At 41.9% G+C, this 25,076-nt stretch overlaps 1 protein-coding gene across 30 annotated transcripts in view; it reads right to left on the bottom strand.

Annotated features, from left to right (window-relative positions):
- The window catches only part of BCLAF3 (BCLAF1 and THRAP3 family member 3), a 78,202-nt gene continuing 72,702 nt past the window's right edge, over window positions 19,577–25,076 (bottom strand). For all 30 annotated transcript variants that reach the window (XM_047441965.1, NM_198279.4, NM_001367774.2 and 27 more), the window contains one exon: window positions 19,577–24,051. In XM_047441965.1, coding sequence (XP_047297921.1) covers window positions 24,022–24,051 — 30 coding nt within the window. In that variant the 3' untranslated portion in view covers window positions 19,577–24,021. The remainder of the gene's footprint in view (window positions 24,052–25,076) is intronic.

Consider the following 25,076-nt stretch of genomic DNA (forward strand, 5'->3'; position numbering starts at 1 on the left):
AGGGTCTGACTCTGTCGCCCAAGCTGGAGTGAAATGATGTGATCTCCGCTCACTGTAACCTCTGCCTCCTGAGCTCAAGCTCAAGAGATTCATGTACCTCAGGTGTGCACCACCACACCCAGCTGATTTTTGTATTTTTAATAGAGATGGGGTTTTGCCATGTTGACCAGGCTGGTCTCGAACCCCTAGCTGAAGTGATCCACTTGCCTCAGCCTCCCAAAGTGCTGGGATTACAGGTGTGAGCCTGATGGTTTTGAGGCAGGCTTTTCCATTCCTCCTTTGCTTCATGCACACCAGGTTAAAGGTAACTGATGTCTAGATCAAAAGCCACAGAAATATTAATGACAAATGTCTTGCTCTATTATGTTTACCTGGCTTGATAGCCTCTCTTAGAATGACCCACTCCCTTCCCTCTTTTTCCTTTTCAGTAAATCTTTTTCAGCAAATCTAACAGGACTGGGTTCACCTGCTCTATAAAGATGAACAAACGAATCAAATCAGAGAAGTAGATCACTTATGAAACAGCTAAACCATGACCTTCTTTACAAGGTTTGTGGGAACGCCTCGCTTTGTAAACAAAGGAAAACACAAAGGAAGCAACTAGAAGGTGAGACGTGCATGTCCACAATGCTACAAAAATAGGATGTCCTCGTTTAAAAATCCAAAGAATGCCTGAGTAATCAACTCCCAAGCTGACTGGTCACACAAGCTTGTATCCAAAGTGCGCAAAAAGAGCCCTGGTGCACAGATGAACTTGCCAAGAACATTTTTCCATCCTTTTCCACAGCACTGCTTTGTCTAAGAAAATAGTAAATTGGGAGAATGGTCCCAGGAGATTAACAAAAAACATGGTTTCTACTGTTTTCTACCCATCCTGCTGGTTTCCTCCCCCACCAAAATCACAAGGGGTCATGTGTAAGGAACTACATTTTCACAATTAAAAGGCAAATCAAATGATAATCAAAAAAGTTCCCAAAGCACCAGACATTAAGATCATATGTGTGATATATATATTGTAATAAATGTTAACATTAAGCCAGGCATGGTGGCTCACGCCTGGAATCTCAGCACTTTGGGAGGCCTACCCAGGCAGATCACTTGAGGCCAGGAGTTCAAGACCAGCCTGGCCAACATGGTGAAACCCCGTCTTTACTAAAAATATGAAAATTAGCCGGATGTGGTGGTGCACGCACGTTAATTCCAGCTGCTGGGGAGGCTGAGGCAGAAGACTCGTTTGAACCCGGGAGGTACAGGTTGCAGTGAGCCGAGATTGTGCCACTGCACTCCAACCTGGGCAACAGAGCAAGACTCCGTCTAAATAAATAAATGTTAACATTAAATAGAACAATGGCATTTAACATAGGAATAAACTGTATCAACAGGCCAATTTTTAAAAATGGAAACTGATAAATTACTATGGGAGGCTTTTGATCTCATCGGTAATGAAAATTTAAAAGTAGGAATTGACTTGCAAACATAGTTTCTCTTTTTGTCCCAGAACCTTCGGGAGAAGCTAAGCTCAGGGGCTCCTTCACAGGCTGGGTTCCTTTGGAGCTCAGCCTCCAGGCTGCACAGACATTGGCCCGTGTTCCTGACAGAGGGAAGAACAAGTGAGGATGTGCAGAGTCTGCAGAACAGATGGCATTTTCAAGGGGTCTCCTGTGGAAGGGGCAGGAGTGTAGTGAAATGTCTGATTCTAAATGGTTTCTATGTCAGGGCCAGATCAAACAAGACCCTGCAGGCAATGGGTAGGAGCACAGGTTTCTTTTTTCTTTTCTTTTCTTTTCTTTTTTTTTTTTTTTTTGAGACAGAGTCTCACTCTGTTGTCCAGGCTGGAGTGAAGTGGCACAATCTCGGTTCACTGCAACCTCTGCCTCCTGGGTTGAAGCAATTCTCCTGCCTCAACCTCCCGAGTAGCTGGGATTACAGGTGTGCACCACCACACCTGGCTAATTTTCGTATTTTTAGTAGAGATGGGGTTTCACCATGTTGGCCAAGTTGGTCTCAAACTCCTGGCCTCAAGTGATCCACACACCTCGGCCTCACAAATGCTGGGATTACCAGTATGAGCCGCCGTGCCTGGCCTGGAGCACAGATTTCTAAGCAGGCTGTTTTTAGGGAGGTAACTGGTGAGCTCTGTGGAGAAAGGACTGGAGGAAGAGCTTGCAGGTGGGAGGCCAGCAACAGGCCAGAGGTGGTAAAGGCAAGAAATATGATGGCAATGATACTAACAAAGAGGAGAGGTTACATTCTAGAGCCATTTTTGAAATACATTTGACAGGCTCTGATGAGGCAGTGGATTTGACGAGAGGATAGGGAGCAAAGATGGAGGATTCAATAGAGATATTTTGTTAGTTGGCTTGGAAGTTGGATAGATAATGGAGTTTCAACTAAGTGGAGAAATCCACTAAGTGGAGAAGGAAGTTTTTGTTGGGGTAGGGATGTGGAGGAGATAATGAATTCAAATTTGAATGTTATTAAGAGCGAATACAGCCAGGCTCGGTAGCTCATGCCTGTAATCTCAACACTTTGGGAGGGCAAGGTGGGTGGATCGCTTGAGTCCAGGAATTCAAGACCAGCCTGGGCAACACAGCGAAACCCTGTCTCTACAAAAACAAAAACAAAAAAATGCAAAAATTAGCCAGGCATGCTGGCGTGTGCCTGTAGTCCCAGCTACATGGGAGGCTGAGGTGGGAGGATCACTTGAGCCTGGGAGTTTGAGGCTGCAGTGAGCCAAGATTGCACCACTGCACTCCAGCCTGGGTGACCGAGCAAGACTTTGTCTCAAAAAAAAAAAAAAAAATGAATACAAAAGGGAATGAAGTACTGATTTATGCCACAACATGGTTGACCCTTGAAAATATGATGCTAAGTGACAGAAGCCAGTTGTCGAAAGCCACCTATTATATGGTTCCATGTATATGAGATTTCTGGAACAGGCAAATCCATAGAGACAGAAAGTAGGCTAGTGGTTGTCAGGGGCTGGGGGAATTGAGGAGTGACAGCTAATGGGTACAGGGTTTCATTTTGCGGTGACAAAACGTTCTAAAATTGATTGTGTTGATGGTTCCACAACTCTGTGAATATACTAAAAACTGTTGAATTATACATTTTAAAATGGGTGAATTGCCAGGCACAGTGGCTCACACCTATAATCCTAGCACTTTGGGAGGCCGAGACGGGTGGATTGCCTGAGGTCAGGAGTTTGAGACCAGTCTGGCCAACATGGTGAAACCCTGTCTCTACCAAAAATACAAAAATTAGCTGGGCATGGTGGTGTGCGCCTGTAGTCCCAGCTACTCGGGAGGCTGAGGCAGAAGAATCACTTGAACCCAGGAGGCAGAGGTTGCAGCAAGCCGAGATTGCACCACTGCACTCCAGCCAGGCAAAAGAGCGAGACTCCGTCTCAAAAAAAAAAAAAAAAAAAGTTAATTATGTGATATGCAAATTATATCTCAATAAAAGCTGTTAAAGATTTTAAAAGAGTGATCATGGTTACAGCATTTCAGTATGGGAAGATGCAAATGTTCTGGAGATGGATGGTTGTGATGGTCGCACAACAATGTGAATGTATTTAATGCCACTGAACTGTACATTAATAAATGGTTAAAATGGCAAATTTTGTTATGTATATTTTAGTACCAAAAGAGAATGAATACATATGTGATTGGTGGGTTATATGGGGCTGGGTGGGGACGATATTCCCTGTGTTTTAACTCCTCCAATAATACCCCCACACTGCTTCCCAAACAGGAAATCAGAATTACAATAACCACCACCCCATCACCTCGGGGTTCAGAGAAACCAAGACCAGTGGCCTGAGCTGACGGTGAAACGCCACAGCCATCCCCTAGATTGTGAAGGCCCCAAAGCAGACAGCCAACCTCAGATGCATCCTCAAGCCCGAGGCTATGGGACTTAATTGAAAAGTCTCTGAACCAGGCGGTCACTTAATAAGAGATGGCACAACCCTTTTCTAGCACGACTTCTTATTAAATAGAGTCAGTCAAATCAAGTTCCTCTTCTCAAAAATAATTACAGACCAGCCAGAGGCAAAAGTGGGAAGTAAGTCAAGTTCATCTTCTTTGTTTTGCTTGCCAGCCCTGGGTTAAGGATTCTATTCCCCAGCTGAAGTTTTCTTTTCTGGACCACAGAAGCTCTCAAAGTGTGGTCCCCAGCCCAGCAGCAGCAGCATGTGGGAACCTGTTAGAGATGCACGCTGGGGACCCCGCCCCAGGCCTTCCGGGTCAGGAACTCTGGGGCTGGGACCCAGTAACCTGTGTTTTGATCAGCAGCTCAAGTGTGAGAATCCCCGCTGTACCTCAACTCCTCAGAGCCAAGGTGAACGCTCTGTCATCTGATGAACTGCTTGGTCCTTGGCAATGAAAACGGGCTCAAGGGAGCTACCAGTGAGGCATAGCCCTGAACTGGTAAAACTGACTTGATGTTTTGCGATATATATTCATATCATTATCATTAGAAAAGTAATCTCTGCTCAGTATTTTAAAAAATAAAACAGGCCAGGCACAGTGGCTCATGCCTGCAATCCAAGCACTTTGGGAGACTGAGGCAGGAGGATTGCTTAAGCCTAGGAGTTTAAGACCAGCCAGGACAACATAGTGAGATCCCATCTCTACAAAAATAAAATAATAAAAAATCAGCCAAGCATGGTGGCACGCACCTGCAGTCCCAGCTACTCGGGAGGCTGAGGTGGGAGGACTGCTTGCGCCTAGGAGGTCGAGGCTGCAGTGAACCATGATCACATCACTGTCCTCCAGCTTGAGTGACAGAACAAGACCCTGTCCCAAAAATAAACTAAACTAAAATAAAATATTAAGGATACAGTGTATAAGGTGAAAATCTTCCATCATCTCACAATTACCAATTACTGCAGAGATAATTGATAATCACTGTTAACTCTTGAAGGAATATTCTTCCAGACATTTTTTAAAGTGTGTAATGATACTAAGATATATGATGATTTCCACCTATTATCACTGTAATTTTTTGGAGCTAGTAATTCCTCTTTAGTGCTCTAATGATGGAAATTGAGAACACTGAAGAGGGGGTACTATTTTCCCTGGAGGACTCTCAAATCACCTTTTTCTTTTTTCCTAAATTTGAATGCATTTCATAATCTTCTTCTGGGAAGAAATTAGAATTCCTGAAAAAATGCTAAAGCAATTCTCTGATACTCTTTAATGAGATTAAGCCCTTGTCGGGGAGACTGCTCCCTCCACCCCCTGCCCCCGTCTCAGCTGACCTAAGGTCAGAAGTCTAGTGATGTTTAGCCAGACATTCTTTCACCTTGTGTCCAGTCTGACAATGATCATCTAACCATTCACTTCCCAGAAAATGTCCCAACCAAGGGGGAATAAGAGGGAATCTTGGGGCTGGGTGCGGTAGCTCATGCCTGTAACCTCAGCACTTTGGGAGGCCAAGGCGGGTAGATCCCCTGAGGTCAGGGGTTCAAGACCAACCTGGCCAACACGGCGAATCCCTGTATCTACTAAAAATACAAAAAAACTAGCCAGGCATGGTGGTGGGCACCTGTAATCCCAGCTACTTGGGAGGCTGAGGCAGGAGAATTGCTTGAACCCGGGAGGCGGAGGTTGCAGTGAGCTGAGATCGTGCTACTGCACTCCAGCCTGGGCGATAGAGACTCTGTCTCAAGAAAAGAAAAAAAAAAAAAGGGGGGGAATCTTGAAACAAAACTTTGACTTTGACATGTGTTCATAATTAAATTTTCTGAAAAGTTTTATATACGCCTCAGTCTTTCATAACTATAAACAACACACACAAAAACTATCAGATATGGACTAGACCTTTTCTCAGTGCCTGAATAAAGGAATGAAAAGGTTTGACCTGCCACAAAATAGTGTTATGGGTCTTTTGAAAGTCTCTCTGGGCAAAAAGGATAATCTTAAGATAACAATCGCTACCATTTATGGAGGAGGGGGCTGCGATACTCTTATCTGCTTTTAAATTCTCACAACAGTGTCAGTTATATGTTAGTATTAACATTGTACAAGGGAAGGAACTCAGGTTCCGAGAGGCTAAATGTCATGCCCAATCAATGTTCTTTAGCAGGAGAGAGCAGGCTTGGGAATGTAAAGTCAGCTGTGTCTGATTCCATTAGAAATGATGACATCGTCTGAAATTGGACAAAACAGCTCATTTGTTTTCATGGTTTAGAACTCTATTCAATGGTCTTAATATAAAATGTCAATGGATCTTCGTGAGTGTTTTGCTTGGTATGAAATCTGTATACACATAAAATGCTCATGGTATAACACTAAGTGATAAAACGGCTACACACACATCCCCAGTTGCTTTTTTTTGTTTGTTTGTTTGAGACAAGGTCTCACTCTGTCACCCAGACTGGAGTACAGTGGTATGATCTTGGCTCACTGCAACCTCTGCCTCCCGATTTCAAGCAATTCTCCCGCCTCAGCCTGCCAAGTAGCTGGGATTATAGGCGCATGCCACTACCGCCCGGCTAATTTTTGTGTTTTTAGTAGAGACAGGGTTTCACCATGTTGGCCAGGTTGGTCTTGAACTCCTGACCTCAAATGATCCACCTGCCTTAGCCGCCCAAAGTGCTGGGATTACAGGCATGAGCCGCCCGCCCCCCAGTTGCCTTTTTTTTTTTTTTTTGAGACGGAGTCTCACTCTGTCGCCCAGGTTGGAGTGCAATGGCGTGATCTCGGCTCACTACAACCTCCTCCTCTCAGGTTCACGCCATTCTCCTGCCTCAGCCTCCCCAGTAGCTGGGACTACAGGTGCCCGCCACCAGGCCTGGCTAATTTTTTTATTTTTACTTTTAGTAGAGACGGGGTTTCACTGTGTTACCCAGAATGGTCTCGATCTCCTGACCTCATAATCGGCCCACCTCAGCCTCCCACAATGCTGGGATGACAGGTGTGAGCCACCGCGCCCAGCTCCCAGTTGCCTTTTAACTTAAAAAATACATTAAAAGCTTTGCAAGCAAATACTCCAAAAGGTTAAAAGGTCATCCTAAAGCCATGCGGCTGTTGTTGATCCGTTTTCCTTCTATTTTCTGAGCCAGCAGAGCATAGAGGTGTCTATGCCACCAGCCTGGGCATGATGAGTTTAGGCTTCACCTGGTACTAGCTGCTGTGCAACCTTGGTAGGTTTCTTTTTTTTATTGCTGTTGTTGTTATTGAGATAGGGCCTCACTCTGTCACCCAGGCTGGAGTGCAGTGGTGCAATCATGGCTCACTGCAGCCTCCACCTCCTGGGCTTAAGCAATCCTCCCACTTCAGCCTCCCAAGTAGCTGGGACTACAGGCACCCGCCACCATGCCTGGCTAATTTTCATATTTCTTTGTAGAGACGGAGATCTTACTATGTTGCCCAGGCTGGTCTCGAACTCCTAGGCTCAAGCGATCCTCCTACCTGGACCTCCCAAAGTGTTGGGATTACAGGTGTGAGCCACTGCATCTGGCCAGGAGGTTTCTTAACCTGTGACTCAGGTTCCCCATCTGTAAAATGGGGAGAATAGTGCCTACTTCATAGGGTTGTCTTGAGGCAATAATGTGCTAATGCTTGTAAAGTGCCCAGGATAGTGACCGGCACTGTTCCAGGTTTTCTTTAAAGAGCATAATTTTAATAATGGGAAAGGTTGCTTTCAAAGGTTATTGTACCTTTACTAATTTATGACTTTCCTTTTTTGAATACCTTAGAATAAGTAATGAATATAATTGAACAAATAAACACTTAAAAATTATCGCAGGACTTTGAAGTGAGCATCTAATTTGACAATTCATAGCAAAGTCTTAAAAAATACACACTTCTGCTCAATCCTAGCACATTGATCACTTGTGTTTATCATCTCTTCCTCTCAAATCCTGGTAAAGTGATAGTAAATAAAAGGGAGGCCAGGCACGGTGGCTCACGCTTATAATCCTAGCACTTTTGGGAGGCCGAGGCAGGCAGATCACTTGAGGTCAGGAGTTTGAGACCAGTCCGGACAACATGGTGAAACCCCATGTCTACTAAAATAAAACTACAGAAGTTAGCCAGGCGTGGTGGTGGGCGCCTGTAATTCCAGCTACTGGGGAGGCTGAGGCAGCAGAATCGCTGGAACCTGGGAGGCGGAGGTTGCAGTGAGCCAAGATTGCACCACTGCACTCCAGCCTGGCGACAGAGCAAGACTCCGTCTCCAAAAATAATAATAATAATAAATTAATTAATTAAAGGGAAATCCTCCAACCAGGACAAGGAGAACAGGAGAGGAAGCATCAAAGTGCTCGGCATCTCAAGGTACTGTTGGGGTTCAAACGGCAGCCCGGGAGGGTAACAGGCTTAGTAGGAAACCACCAAAGTGGGCTCTTCAACCTAGAAGTCTATACTCAGCCAAACCATCAATCAAATATAAACATGGAATAATGACATTTTCAGACATGTAAGGACTCCAAATACATACCTCCCATGTCCTCGTTTTACAGAACGTCAGAAGTATGTGCTCCAGCCAAAAAAAAAAAAAAAAAAGGAGTATGTTAAGACAGCAGAAACATGAGACTTACGAAACGAGGGATCCCATACACAAATGCAGTGAGAGAGAAATCCCTGGATGGCACTGTCTGGCAGGTCAGTTCAGCTTGAACTGAATGGAGTCTCTAGGAGGGAAGTCTGGTTTAACTGAGTGTTTGGAACATGCTATTGATAAGCCTCGGGCAGATTTAATGGAGGATCTAGATGTTGGGTGGAATAATGGGCCTCCCAAACATGTTCACACCCTAATCTGTGGAGCCTGTGAATATGTTGTTACATGAAAAAAACTAAGGTTGCAATTGAAATTAAGGTTGCCAATTAGCTGCTCTTGGGATGGGAAATTTATCCTGGGTTGCGCAGGTAGACTCAATGTAATCACAAGGACCTTTCAATATAGAACAGGGAAGAAGAGAGTGTGGGAGTCATGACGCAGCATGAGGAAGACTTGACTGGCCATGGCCGGCTTTGAAGATGGAAGGTGGCCACCAGCCAAGGAATGCAGAAGCCTCTCGAAGCTGGAAAAAGCAAGAGATTGAATTCTCCTCTAGAGCTTCCAGAAGGAATGCAGCCCTGTCAACACTTTGATTTTAGCCCAGTCAGACCCACTTTGAACTTCTGGCCTAGTTATAGCAGCCATAGGGAACTAACACAGAGGATTTGAATGAGTGTCCAAAACCAAGCAAGTAAGAAAATGCAAGGCAGTTATTGACATTGGGAAAAACTAAGTTGTAAAAAAGGAAACAATCTGTATAATCCACCTGGTTCAGCAAAATAAATAAAAAGAAAGAAAGAAAGAAAAAAAAACACAGCAAAAAAAAAAGAGAGAGAGAAACCAATATTTATGTGGCTGTATAATGTCAAGCAATTAATATTAACCAAAAAATATGATAATAATAAATTGGCAGACTTTGGGGTTGGAAGGCAGGGGAGTAAGAAAGCAAAATCCTTATCTATTACTGGAGAAACTCAATAGATAGTGCCTAAAATTCATAAATCAAGACAGCAGGCCAGGCATGGTGGCTCACGCCTGTAATCCCAGCACTTTGGGAGGCCAAGGTGGGCAGATCACTTGAGGTCAGGAGTTTGAGACCAGCCTGGCCAACATGGCAAAACCCCGTCTCTACTAAAAATACAAAAATTAGCCGGGCATGGTGGCACACACCTGTAATCCCAGCTACTTGGGAGGCTGAGGCAGGAGAATCGGTTGAACCTGGGAGGCGGAGGTTGCAGTAAGCTGAAATCGCACCACTGCACTCCAGCCTGGGTGACAGAGCGAGACTCTGTCTCAAAATAAATAAATAAGTAAATAAAATAACAAAATAAAATAAAAGATTACTATGTAACAAACGTTTTGCTATAGAGCTTTTCTTGAGACAGGGTCTGGCTCTGTCATCCAGGCTGGAGTGCAGTGGTGTGATCTCGGCTCACTGCAGCCTCAGCCTCCCAGGTTCAAGCAATTCTCATGCTTCAGCCTCCCGAGTAGCTGGAATTACAGGCGTGAGCCACTACACCCGGATAATTTTTAAATTTTTATTAGAGATGCGGTTTTGCCATATTGGCCAGGCTGGTCTCCAAATCCTGGCCTCAAGTGATCCTCCCCACTCGGCCTCCCAAAGTGATGGGATTACAGGTGCGAGTTACTGTGCATGGCCATAGGGCTTTTTAATGAATGGAAAAAGTGACAACAGCAAATTACAAAATGGTATGTTAACAACCATTCAATTTTTTTTTTTTTTTGACAGGGTCTGGCTCTGTCACCAGGCTGGAGTGCAGTGGCGCAATCTTGGCTCACTGCAAGCTCCACCTCCCAGGCTCAAGCGATTCTCCCACCTCAGCCTCCCAAGTAGCTGGGACTACAGGCGCACATCACCACATCCAACTAATTTTTTTGTATTTTTGGTAGAGACAGGGTTTTGCCATGTCACCCAGGCTGGTCTCAAACTCCTGGGCTCAAGTGATCCACCTGCCTCAGCCTCCCAAAGTGCTGGGATTAGAGGCATGGGCCACTGCACCTGGCCAACAACTATTCAATTTTTGTTTACAAAGTGTGCATGTATAATGTGTAGGAAAATGAGTTTTTTGTTTTTTGTTTCTGAGACAGGGTCTTGCTCTGTCGCCCAGGCTGGAGTGCAGTGGCATGATCATGGTTCACTGCAACCTCAACCTCCTTACCAGGCTCAAGCAATCCTCCCATCTCAGGCTCCAGAGTAGGTGGGACTACAGGTGTGCCACCACACCCGGATGAAAAATGAGCATTTTTGTATATGTAGGTATGTACACCTATATGTGTATATATACATATATAGAGACAGAAACAGAGTAGAAAAGTGTATGTGTGTGCATGCAAAGTGGGTATATATGTGCCAAAAGTACACAAGGATTTTTTTCTCCAGAGACAGGGTCTCACTGTGTCGCCCAAGCTGGAGTGGTATGATCACGGTTCACTGCAGCCTTGACCTCCTGGGTTCAAGTGATCCTCCCACCTCAGCCTTCTGAATAGCTGGGACCACAGGTGCGCACCACCATGCCCAGCTAATTTTTTTTTCTAATGTTTTGTAGAGACAGGGTCTCACTATGTTGCCCAGGCTGGTCTCAAACTCCTGGACTCAAATGATCCTCCCCCTCCTCAGCCTCCCAAAGTGCTGGGATTACAGGCGTGAGCCACTGTGCCTGAACACAAGGACTAAGACCAAACTGTTAACCATGCTTACCACTGAGTAGTAGGCATACAGGTCATTTTAATGTTCTTCTTTATACTTTCCCATATTTTCTAGGATTTCTTTCCCGTATCAAGCATGCATTACTCATAACCAGAAAATAATTACTTCCATTTCGTGTAAAGAAGTAACTTTTTAAAATGAGCATCTGAGACCTTAGGGGCTAACTGCAGCAAGCAGCTGTCACCAAAATTTACACATGTAGGAGTTAGAACGGCTAAGAAAAAATATGTCAACTATCTTTATTAACTAACGCTCTCCAGAATGTGGTTTAGGTATACATGTTCTAGAAGTATGTTGGAGCCATTGCTATAAATCTACATATCGTGTTCTCTTTAGATTCTTGTTTTGAACTAAGGTCTATGAGGCCAGAACATCTTGGCGGGCGCTGCATGTCATCTGGTTTCTAGGCAGTATTTTAGAAAGGCAGCTCAATTCCCCTTCTTGCCCAATAGGTGGGGCAAGAAAGCTTTAGAAGAGTCCCCACCTGCTAAAACATGAACAGGAAGAGACCAAATTGCAGAAAAACCAGTTAGAGCGGTTCAGAAGTCATCCCCATCCAGTTGGGTGGGATGTATGCTAAAATTTTCCTAGGGTGAAAACTGTTTCCAGAGAGTTTTCTAGAGAATACCAAGTTGAGAGTCTATAAAATCTGTTTCAATACCTGACAATCACACTGTAACCAGGACTTTTTTCTAGCGTTTGAAATTAAAATAGCTCAGGTTGAAATGCTGAGATATCATTTTTCATGGGTCAGATTGGCAAAATTCAAAAGCTTGTCAATACACTGCTGGCCAGACTGTGGGGTAAGTGGCACTCTCATCCACTGCTGGGGGAAATGCACCCTGGTCCAACTCCCATGGAGAAGGGCTGGCAATATCTAACAACATTCCATATACATTTTACCCTTCGGCCCAGCAATCTCACTTTTTTTTTTTTTTTTTTGGAATTTACTCTGAAGATTCACTTCCAACAATATGAAAATAAATATGCACAAGGTTATTGATTACAGCATGATTTGTAATTGCAAAATGTCAAACTACCTAAATGTCCAAATATAAGAGTGTGGTTGAATAAGTTATGATAACAGCTACACAGTGGAGTACTATGCAGCTATAAGGAAGAATGAGGCCAGGCATGGTGGCTCACGCCCATAATCCCAGCACTTTGGAAGGCCAAGGCAGGCAGATCACCTGAGGTCAAGAGTTTGAGACCAGCCTGGCTAACATGGTGAAACCCTCTCTCTACTAAAAATACAAAATTAGCTGGGTGTGGTGGCAGGCGCCTGTAATCCTAGCTACTTGGGAGGCCCAGGCAGGAGAATCGCTTGAACCCAGGAGGTGGAGGTTGCAGTGAGCCAAGATTGTGCCACTGCACTCCAGCCTGGGCGACAGAGCAAGACTCCGTGTCAAAAAAAAAAGACAATCGCACAAACTGGTATGGAACAATTTCCAAGATTTCTTAAGTGAAAAAAGCAAAGTGCAAAAGAGAATATAGAAGATGCTGCTTTCTGTATATGGAAAAAAACGGGGAGGGGGGGCGGAATAAGAAAACATACATATATCTGCTTGTCTATACCAAAAAATACACAGGAATGAGAAACCCGAAGTTGGTCACCTACAAGGAGTGGGAAGGAATAGTATTGAAGGAATACAGGAGGAAGTGACACTTCCCTGAGCATACCTTTTGGTATAGTTTGATTTGAGGAAGTATGTTAATGTTCTACATATTGAAAAAAATCAAATCAAATAAACATGGATGGTGGGGAGAGCTACCACTGAAAACAAGTTGGAAAAAACAACTGTATTTCTAATGAAGAACATGACCATATCACAGGGGTAGGAGTGGAGGAGACTAATGCAAGTAATTTATGTACACAGTATTTGTCCATATACCTTCTGTCTTTGGGGCATGGCACTGAAGAACCGCAAACAAATCCTGAACTATTTTTAGTAGGTTTGTTTCCTGCTGTGGTATAAGTGAAGCAATTCCGAAACTACTTTAGATGTATTATGGGATTGAGCAAATGATTAAATCGTTTGATGTTGGGAGCCAGGGTTCTCACTGTGGAGGAAGGGACATACAAATATCAAACAGGAGAAGGCAAGGAAGAATCCTATGGAGATGGATGGTAGGTGCCAGTGTGACCTCATCATTTCTAAAATATGTATATATATGCATGTATGTGTGTGTGTGTGTTTCCTAGATATGGCTGCTGAAAATGCTTATAAGCAAAGACACTCCAGTAGCAATGGGCACTAGGGCCCAAGTCTTGGACTCTAATACCATCCCCCACTAAAAGGAACCAGGACTCCTTAGAAAAATGAATGATTTCAAGCCTGGGGCAGGGAATGTCCAAGATAAAGACCAAAACATTTTGTTATGCATCAGAGCAAAGAAGTGCTAAAAAGAAATGATAGGTGCATATCACAATTTGCAATTGCAAAAATATGGAACCAGCTCAAATGCCCATCAGTCAACGAGTGGATGAAGAAAATGTGGTACACACACACACACACACACACACACACACACACACACAATGGAATACTACTGAGTCATAAAAAGGAATGAAATAACGAAAAAGGAATGAAATAATGGCATTCGTAGCAACCTGGATGGAATTGGAGACTTTTTTTTTTTGAGACAGAGTCTCACTCTGTCACCCAGGCTGGAGTGCAGTGGTGTGATCTCACCTCACTGCAACCTCCACCTTCTGGGTTCCAGTGATCCTCCTGCCTCAGCTTCCCAAGTAGCTGGGATTACAGGCATGAGCCACCACGCCCAGCTAATTTTTTTTTTTTTTTTTTGTATTTTTAGTAGAGACGGTGTTTCTCCATGTTGTCCAGGATGGTCTCGAACTCCTGGCCTCAGGTGATCCACCCACCTCAGCCTCCCAAAGTGCTGGGATTACAGGCATGAGCCACTGCACCTGGCTGGAGACTATTACTCTAAGTGAAGTAACTCAGGAATGGAAAACCAATATTGTATGTTCTTACTCATGCGTGGGAGCTAAGCTATGAGGATGCAAAGGCATAAGAATGATACAATGGACTTTGGGGACTTGAGGCAAAGGGTGGGGGGTGGCAAGGGATACTGTAGATTGGTTACAGTGTACACTGCTTGGTGATGGGTGCGCCAAAATCTCAGAAATCACCACTAAAGAACTTATTCACGTAACCAAACACCACCTGTTTCCCAAAAACCTACTGAAATAAAAAAGATAAAGTCAAAAAAGGAATGATAGGTCCATATCAAGAGGACACAGCAATCAGCTTAAAGGGGCTCCCACTGGCCAAAGCTAGGATCATTTGAGCTCCCAAATAATCAAGGACAATAATGAATTATAAGCCACTGAAAAAGTAGAAATGAATCCATATCAATAATAAATAGACAAATAAGCAGGGAAGAAGGGAGGAGTCTTGCTTACAGCAGAATGCCAATGCCAGCTGGTAAGTGTAGAGGGAGCACTGGAGTTAGAAAATCATCATTTTGCCACCATAGCCATGAAGATTGGTTTGGACCAAAATCATCAACATGCCTGGGCATGATGGCTCGCACCTGTAATCTCAGCACTTTGGGAGGCCAAGGTAGGAGGATTGCTTGAGGTCAGGAGTTCAAGACCAGCCTGGACAACATAAGGAGACCCCCCCACCGCCCCCCACCATCTCTTAAAAAAAAAAAAAGCCAGGTGCAGTGGCATGCACCTGTGGTCCCAACTACTCGGGAGGCTGATGTGGGAAGATCGTTTGAGCCCAGGAGGTTGAGATTGCAGTCAGCCATGATTGTGCCACTGCACTCCAGCCTGGGCAACAGACGGAGACTCTGTCTCAAAAAAAAAAAAAAAAAAGAAAAGAAAAGAAAAGAAAAGAAAGAAAGAATGGAGGCCCTCTTTAAAAACCAGAATGGTCTTCATTTTGGGTTTGTCTGATGATTCTTTATGATTATATTCAAGTGCTGCATTCCCAGCCAACATACCATATTAGTGATGCTGTGTTATCTATTGTTAGCAGTGGAGAATCCATATCCGTGTCACACGGCACCAAAATATCTTCCGGCAATGAACCTGTACGGGTCTGCAGCAACCTCAATTACTGCCTCCTCAGAAGAAAAAATTGGACTGAGAGGCATAAGGCAGAAGGAGAGATGGAGGCAAGTTTTAGAGCAGGAATGAAAGTTTATTTAAAAAGTTTAGAGCAGGAATGAAATGAAGTATACTTGGAAGAAAGCCAAGCAGTCGACCTGAAAAGCAAGTGCACGGTTTGACCTTTTGACTTGGGGTTTTATAGGTTGGCATACTTCTGGGGTCTTGCGTTACTCCTCCCAACTCCTGAGATCTTATCGGGAAGCTGCTGATCACCATTATTTTAGAGAGACAGTTAACCACCGCCTGACTATCACCTGATGGTTGCCTGACACTCCTGGTATGTGGGTCGGGGGAGCCCTCTCCTGCCCTGCTCATACCAGACTAGCTACCCACTGTAACAGTATCACACTGATGTCCATCTGCTCCTCCTTGGTGATGTTAATTTCCATCCCCTAGTCAAGGAGTTGTCTGTTCTTTCCACTGTATAATTGCTGTTTTTCCTTCCTGCCTTGCAATAAATAAGCGATCTGTGAGAAGACACTTTTACACATTGAAATGTCCTGCTCATCAAAATTGCCTCATATATTTAGTATCTATTGATGACTCTATTTTTTTTTTTTTTTTTTTGCCTTAAGTGATCTTCCTGCCTCAGCTTTCCTAAGTGCTGGGATTACAGGCATGAGCCACCATGCCTGGCCAAAATATATATATATTTAATTATCATGGATACATAATAGTTGTATATATTTGTAGGCAACATGTGATATTTTGATATAAGCATACAATGTGTAATGATCACATCAGGGTAATTGGGATATGCATCACCTTAAGCATTTATTATTTGTGTTAGAAACATTCCAGTTCCAGCTGGGTGCCGTGGCTCACGCCTGTAATCCCAGCACTTTGGGAGGCCAAGGCGGGTGGATCACTTGAGGTCAGGAGTTTGAGACCAGCCTGGCTAATATGGTGAAACTCCATCTCTACTAAAAATACAAAAATTAGCTGGGCATGGTGGTGCATGCCTGTAATCCCAGCTACTCCAACAGCTGAGGCAGGAGAATCACTGGAACCTGGAAGGCGGAGGTTGCAGTGAGCCAAGATTGCCACTGCACTCTAGCCTGGGCGACAAGGGGAGACTCCGTCTCAAAAAAAAAAAGAAAAGAAAAAAAAAAGAAACATTCCAGTTCCACTCTTTCCTTTTGAATGGATAAAGGAAACATGGTGCATATACACAATGGACTATTATTCAGCCATAAAAATAATGAAATCCTGTCATTTGCAACAACATGGATAGAAACTGGAGGACTTATGTGAAGTCAAATAAGCCAGGCACAGAAAGACAAATATCACATGGTCTCACTCATATGTGAGAGCTAAAAAAAAAACACACACACACAAAACCTGAATTCATGGAGCTAGAGTAGCATGGTTACGAGGCTGGGAAGGGTGGTGGGGAGGGGCGGGTAAGGAGGAGATGATTAATGGGTACAAAAATAGGTTGATACATGGAGTAAGACCTAGTGTTCCATAGCATAATAGGGTGACTATAATTCACCTCCAAGCCTCTTAGTGAAAAGGAAAATTACAAGACCTCTGTTCTCGAAATGCTAAGAATTTGAAGTGGAAAAAGGTGAACTAAAGTATTGGTAGAAATGCCCATACGGAAAAATAGGTAGAATGTGGATCAATGGCAGGGAGGGAAGAGGCTGGGGAGGTGAATGAATACGCCAAGGCTTGGGGTCAGAAGGAAGCCCACCGAGGGTGGCCAATGACACGTCTTCTCACATAGCACCTGGCCCAGAGCAGATGCACAGAGCCTGATGGTTCATCCCTGCATCTTCAGGAAACCATGAAACAAAGGTCTCCTGGGAGAGCTGCTGGGAGACAAGGTTGGGTAGTAGAAAACCTGAAGGGCAGCCCACCTCCCCACCTTTCTCTTCAAGCAGTTCATAAGCCAGGTGCTAGAATTTGAACTTTTTTTTTTTTTTTTTCTGTGGGTACCAGGAAGCCACTATAAGATTTTGCTTAAGAAGGTGGCTTTTGGTAGCCACAGTGGCTCAGGCCGGTTGTCTTGGCGCACACGGAGGTGAGGCTACACATTCGAGGCCAACCTGGTCAACGTTGACCAAAAAAAAAAAAAAAAAAAAAAAAAAAAGAAGCTGGCCCTTTAGCCATTCAGCAAGTATCTTTCTTTCTTAGTTCTGAGTCAGGCACTGATCTAGATAGAGGGGGAGAGATAGACAGGTCCTTATTTGACGTGCTTAATCTTAAGCAGGGGTGTGTTTGGGTATTCTGGGAACCCAGAGGAGGGGCAGCTAACTCAGCGAGGCTAGGTTGGGAAGGCCACCAATCTGAGTCTTGTTTATCCAGATGGTCACCTGAGTTGTTGACACCTTTTGGCTATTGTGAATAATGCTGCAATTAAAGTTGCCATACAAGTGTCTGAGTCCCTGTCTTCGATTCTTTGGGGGAACACACCCATGAGAGGAATCGCTGGGCCACATGGTAATCCTATGTTTAGCTTTTTGAACATTATTTTGGGAACTTTTTTTCACCATAGTTGTTAAGAGACTATTAAGTTAGTGGCATTGTGTTCCCTGCAATCACTTGCAGAAACTGTCATCAGGGAGAACTCAACATTAAAGTCTATTTCTTCTTTACTAAATATTATAATGAGTATCATTAGAAGGGATTAGAATTTGGGATGAGAATTTACATTAGAAAATTATTTGTAAAGTTCTATCTACTTTTTAACATCTTAAATGATGTGTACATCAAAACAAACAAAACCCTTAAATTTTATTTATTTATTTGAGACAGAGTCTCACTCTGTTGTCTAGGCTGGAGTGCAGTGGTGCGATCTGGGCTCACTGCAACCTCCACCTCCCTGGTTGAAGCAATTCTCCTGCCTCAGCCTCCTGAGTGGCTGGGATTACAGGCACGCACCACCACACCCAGCTAATTTTTGTATTTTTAGTAGAGACGGGGTTTCACCATGTTGGCCAGCCTGGTCTCAAACTCCTGACCTCAGGTGATCCGCCCACCTCTGCCTCCCAAAGTGCTGGGATTATAGGCATGAGCCACTGTGCCCAGCCAAAACCCCTAAATTTTAATATAATTCAGGATTTCATAAAACATTTTTAAGGCCGGACAAGGTGGCCTTAAAAATGTAATAAAGTATAATCTCAACTACCAAAACAATAAAGCCCAGAAAAAAGACTAATGAGAAAATACCAAAATGTTAGTCTGCACTAAATATTTATGAGCAGTGGGATTATAGACAAATTTTTCTCCCTTTTACATACTATTCTATCTACTTTGTCAAGGACAAAAATTCAACAAACTGAGTTTCAAAGATCTGATTGGCTTTTATTAGTGATTCATGAACCAGGCAGCATCCAATCTACAAATTAGAAAGGAGCTCCAATGAGCTAAACAAAGTGGGTGAGTTTTATAGGCAGAAAAAAGTGGAGGAAAGCAGGAACAAGGAACAAATAGAGAACTGGCCATTTCAAGGTTACTTTCCTCACAGGGATATAAGTGAAATCTTGCTGGCTTAATGGAATTTGGCTACTGTCTCTTCTGATTTGTTGGAAGGTCACATCTTCCAAATAAACAACTTAGGTTTCTGTTTGGTGATATGGAACCTTAGCATGAGTGACACCATTTTGGGCCTGTTGTCTTTTAACAACTTTTGATCAGGAAAAAAAAGTTGTTTTTCTTTTTAAAAAGAAAAGCAGTAAGATGAATTTTTTTTTTTTTTTTTGAGATAGGGTCTCACTCTGTCACCCAGGCTGTCACAGCTCACTGCAGCCTTGATCTCCCAGGCTCAAGAGATCCTCCCACCTCAGCCTCCCAAATAGGTGGGACTACAGGTGCACGCCCCTACACCCAGCTAATATTTGTATTTTTTGTAGAGATGGAGTTTCACCATGTTGCCCAGGCTGGTCTCAAACTCCTGAGCTCAAACAATCTACCCACCTCAGCCTCCTTAAGTGTTGGCATTACACCGTGCCTGGCCAAATTTAATTTTTTATATATTATTGTTAAATATTACAAATCAATAATTTGTACTTAAAACTCAACACAATACATACTTAAAATAAGCCTACCTACTTTTTATGATGTGGGAGGAATGGCCGGGAATAAAACCCCAATGGACTATAGTGAAGTAGCCAGCCTATAACGTAAAAGCTTGTTTACCTGGATTTTGGTAGCAGATATATAATGGATAGGATGAAATGTTCTTACCACTGTTTTAAAAAAGAAAGACTTTATTTTATAAAAATGATACAACATTCATTATATTTGATAGATACAGAAGAGTACAGTCACTCATAATCCCACCATTTAAAAAAATCAACAGTGTTAACAGTGGGTGGGTATGTTTCCAGACCTCTCAATTCACTCATATGTACAGACAGGATTGACGGGGGGAATCCCTAAACTTTTTATTCTAACAAGTTTTATTTATTTATTTTCTTTTTTGACATGGAGTCTCGCTCTGTCGCCCAGGCTGGAGTGCAATGGCGTGGCCTCGGTTCACTGCAACCTTCGCCTCCCGGGTTTAAGCAATTCTCCTGCCTCAGCCTCCCAGGTAGCTGGGATTACAGGTGCATGCTACTGCGCCCGGCTAATTTATGTATTTTTATTAGAGATGGGGTTTCACCATATTGGCCAGGCTGGTCTCAAACTCCTGACCTCAAGTGATCCACTCGCCTCGGCCTCCCAAAGTGCTGGGATTACAGGCGTGACTCACTGTGCCCGGCCAGCAAACAAGTTTTAGATTTAACTTTATTTGAATGCAATAGAAAAAAAATTAGGCATTAAATTGAAGGGGCTGCTGAACTTCAGATAAATGTTTCTTCATTGGTTCCTAAAAGGGATAAATAAGCCAGTTATTCTCAAACTCAAGTATGTGCCAGAATCCCCTGGAGGACTTGTTAAATCACAGATTGCTTGGCCCCACCCCCAGGGTTTCTGATTCAGGAGGTCTGGGGTGGGGCCAAGAATCTGCATTTTTAACAAGTTCTCAGGTGATGCTGATGTTGCTGGTCTGGGACCACACTTTGAGAACCACTGTATTAAGGTCAAGGAAAAAAAAGATTGTGGAAAAACTTAAGGTTGGTCACTAGCGTTTTTCCCCATATTATAATTTTAAGACATGACGTGACATGACACCTGGCCATGAATGATGAGACGGTTAGTTCTTAAGTCTTTATCCCACTTTACCTCCTCCATGTCTGAATTTGTCAATGTACATTAATTTTTCTTTGTCAAGATTTATAACATTTACATACTATTCTACATCTATGATTCCTCAGTTCTTAAATGTTCATTCTGTATTTTAATGGACTCAGAGCTCATAATCATCCTATTTGACGGAACTTTGTTGGGGAACCTGGTATCCCCTCTCTTCTAGGTTCCCATTAAATGTCCAGAACCAGAACTCACTAGACACAGTCAAAGGTGTCTCTGACTTCTGCAGGATTTGGCTTTCCCAGGCTGCTCTGAGACCTGGGAAATGCCTAGTCCTGGTGAATCTTACCCCTTCTGCTGAGGTCCTGAGATGGAAGCAAAGACTTCGTTGTCCCAAGAGTTTTCCTTGACTCTCCTCCACGTGGCCTGGTCACCTCGTCAGTGCCTTTGTCCATACTGGGGCCCACTGTTACCAATATTTTTGTCATCTCCATTGTTTTACTCAGTGCTACTTCTGGGGATGGGCGAGGGATGAAGTCATACCACACCTTGTTGCATCAGCTTCTTCTTCCTTCCTTGCTTGGTTGTTCCTGGTGAATTTGTGCCTGGTGGTTACTGAATTTGCTGGGTAATAAAGACAATAAGAGTTTCTCATCCAGCTTTACTTTTCTTGCTTCTGCCTGGAAGTATCCCCGTCTTTTTTTTAAAAAAAAAACTATTCAAAAATGTAGGATTTATTAGGTAAAATGTGGTACATAGTATACATCTACATAAATTGTTACACATAAATGTAGCGAGTTTTTTTCCAATAGAAAAAAATGAAAATGTATCATCTAAAATATTTATAATAGTGTTCTCTGTGATAAGACTATGGGCAATTCTTCAAATTGAAATTTATGTTGAAGTAACTCTAGATTCACATGCAGCTATAAAAGAAATAATACAGAGAGATCCCGCGTACAATTTACCCAGTTTCCCCCAATGCATCAATTTTTAAAACCAGTAAAACCACCAACAGAATAGTGCCTTCTGAGGTTGGTGAAACCAATAGGAAAGAAACATGACGAGGGGATGCTGAATCAGAAATGTCAACTTTCCTCTCAACCTTTTGTATATATGTCCACTAAAGTACTTACTCTACATTGTGATTCTTTGTTTTTGTGAATCTCTTCTTCAGCAGTGCATGAGCTTCCTCACAGCAGGGACTGTGTCTTATTATCTTTGTCTTCCCAGTACCAGCGAAGGGCCTAGCACGTAGTGGAGGAAGGTGAGGAGGCAATGGTAGGGGACTTATCAAAAAAAAGAAAAAAAAAAAAAACTTCTCTTCTCAAGTCTTATGCATTCAAGAAGTCAAATTCTTTCCAGTCAATAAAAAATGCTATGGATAACCTTTTGTTCAATCTCCATATGAAAATTACACATGTAGTTCCTAATAAACATATTCTATTATTCCCTATTTATTCATTCATTATTCAACTAATATTTAATGAACTCTTACCACACGTCAAATAGGAAGCTGGGTGCTGGGGATACTATGGTGGACAAGACAGACACGGTCCCTGTCCTTATTTTATACTCTAAATTATAAAGTTGGTTTTTCCTTTTAGGCTTTAGATCTTATACACACAATGTTTTCTGCACAGGTATTTTGCAGATAACACGCTTTGCATATTGAGACAGTGCCAAAAGAATATCCAAATAGGGAATCAGTTGTGGAATGAATAATAGTAAATCAGCCATCTTACCTTTATGTGTTACAATAAATAAAAAGCGAGCTATAAAGGCGATTTACCAAGTTATATTTCTGTTTAATGTCCATTTTTCCTATTAGACTCTTCGTACCATAAAGGCAGGGTCCATGTGTCTTGTCTTCTTGTTCATTGCTGTAATTTTAGTACAGTATCTGTGCAATACATAGTTGTCAATCAAATGATTAAATATTCAAAGCTCATTACTGTCCCCTAGAATATGGGAGTAAATGAAATCAATTATTTTAAAATTTAAGACAGATTTTATAAGTACCTAACACAATATAAAGTTGCCATACTACCTGTGTGCATGCATTTCTTTCTTACCATAAGTGGAATGCTAAATATGTTTGGAAAACCTGACCTATAGAGATTGTACACAGTACAAGACAGGCCATCTACCCAAATTTATTACCTGCTTAGCAATGAATCAAGTGCACTTGCCCCCCTTATCATGAACTCACTTAAGGAAAAGGCTGCCCTCTCTTTTAAAGATATGGACAAGAAAACTGAATGTACTAAGATTTTTCACATCCAGTCATGAAAAACCAAGTTCTTATCAACCTTCACATTTTAATTTTGAAAGCTCTGTCTTTGTAAGCACAGAACAGTGCTTTAAACACTGTTTAAACAGAGGTGCTATCCAAGGCTATAAGTCTCAAACAAAATTAAAATAATGCTCTCACAAACTGGCAAGTAACTTATTTAAGCAGAAAGAGCAACAACATTTTATTTTATTACAAATAAACATTTCACAAAAATGTAATTGGGAATGTATATGTACTGTTAAGCAGAACACAGAAAACATAAAGAAATAAGGTATTGGGGCCTAAAAATTTCATTTAAAAATCCCATCCATTTGCTCTTACACATAGTAGGTATGCAATACATATCAACTGAACTAAAAGTAAACACTCTATAAGATGTGCTTGCAAAATGTGTAATGCTGTAGTAGTAAAGTACAATTTTCAAATATGAGATTTTGTTTGTCAGATTTTTAAAAAGCCTTTAAAAATATGATATGCACAAGCTTGCCCTGAGGGAAAAATAAGATGGACTATAGATTACAAAATCTTTACATATTTTCCACAATAGCATTTTGAAATTGGAAAAGAGCAAATAGTTGTGGAAAAAAACTGAATGAACATATTACTAAAAATTCAGTGCACTCACAACTACCTGATGGAATATTTGAAGCACCTTGTCTCTTGCCTTCTTATAATATGAAATGTATGAATTATATAGGCCTTGATCTTCAGAAACTTAAGAAAACTTCGAGTTATAAGCCAAAATGTCATCAGAAAAAGAAAAATCTGGTATAAAATTTTCTACCATAAGGCCACTGTTTAAAGTTCTTTCATGTAAAGACACTATACAATTCAGACACTTGTTTTTGTTTTTATTATGTAAGCAAAACTTTCAACATATAAACGTCTGAATATTACTTGGTGAAGTTCTCTCTATGAAACCATGCTCAGAGAAAAATGCATCAACAAATAATGCCCTTCAAGTGATTCTTTTGAGACTTTTTGCAAAGGAAACTGTAGTTAATACAACTTTTAAATTGAATACTGTAATTTAAAAGCAATTGTTAGGTGTAAAAAAGTTGCAGCATTCCACTACTAAAAAATAAAGTTATTTTATCAAGAAGTTACAGTATTAGTGCCTTAGTGTCACTTCTAACTCCTGACAAAAAGAGAGAGATGCTCCCAAACATCCTCCTGTAGCGTCATTTCCATTTGTACGATTTCAGATTAGATTCCTGTGGCAACATCTGTATATTCCTATTGAGAGAAAACAAGAGAAATAAAGACTTCAAACAAAGTGTCAAACATCTGAGCTAGTTTTGTTTACACTGCAATTTTCAAAGTATTTTCGTTTATACAGTGTTACTTGCACCCCGAGATTCCCACGAAGGCATGTGGAACCCCAAAGGCGCAAAGTAACAACAGAACACATCAAAGCAATATCGCATGATAAATCAATAGGACAAAGAAAACATGTGGTGCTAGATAACATTGATATTAGTAAATTGATGAAAACAGTCTTCTGCTATTTGGGTGAGTTTCAGTGAAGGCATCCCTGGCATAAAATCAAGACTCTTAAACCTTTGGCTCTCAAGTACGGAGCCTGACACTACACACGCACACCTCAAATTAGTATTTTATCTTTTCCACCCTATATCTCTAATTCTAAAACTACATGGGCTCTTTTAACTGACTGATAACTGCAGAGAAAGTTATTAGAGGGGGAAATGCCTTCTTACTTTTGGATGGTTGACTACAGTATAAAAAGGTGTAAGGCTTCAATAAATACAGGAAGAAGAATTTACAAGAACAATGAGACTATGATTAGAGAATAATGAACGTGGATTCTATACTGTGATACTATGCACAATATTCAATTACTAACCACAAACTGGACATAAGACCATGCAAGTAATAACGGAGCAAACATGGTAAAATGGCACATTTTTTAGGGACATTAAAAAATAAAAATTTATTAATATACATATCCTTACCTTTCACTAGGATCTTACACTATTAAAACTGAAAGAAATGTAAAAGTTGATTTATTTTTTGGCATTTATATTAGTATGGAAATGTTTAATTCCAAACAAAAACAGTGCTGATAGAAAATTCTTATTCTTCTATTTTGGTTAATGAAATCTTCAAAATACATGCACGTATATATTTGTCAACATCATTCCTTTAAATAGAGGTAGACTTCATTGTATCCTAGTTCTTTACTCATTATACAATATAAAAATCATATAAATTTATCTTCAAATAAAATGTTACCTACTTAC

Source organism: Homo sapiens, chromosome X, assembly GCF_000001405.40.
Source record: "Homo sapiens chromosome X, GRCh38.p14 Primary Assembly".
NCBI classification, from domain to species: domain Eukaryota; kingdom Metazoa; phylum Chordata; class Mammalia; order Primates; family Hominidae; genus Homo; species Homo sapiens.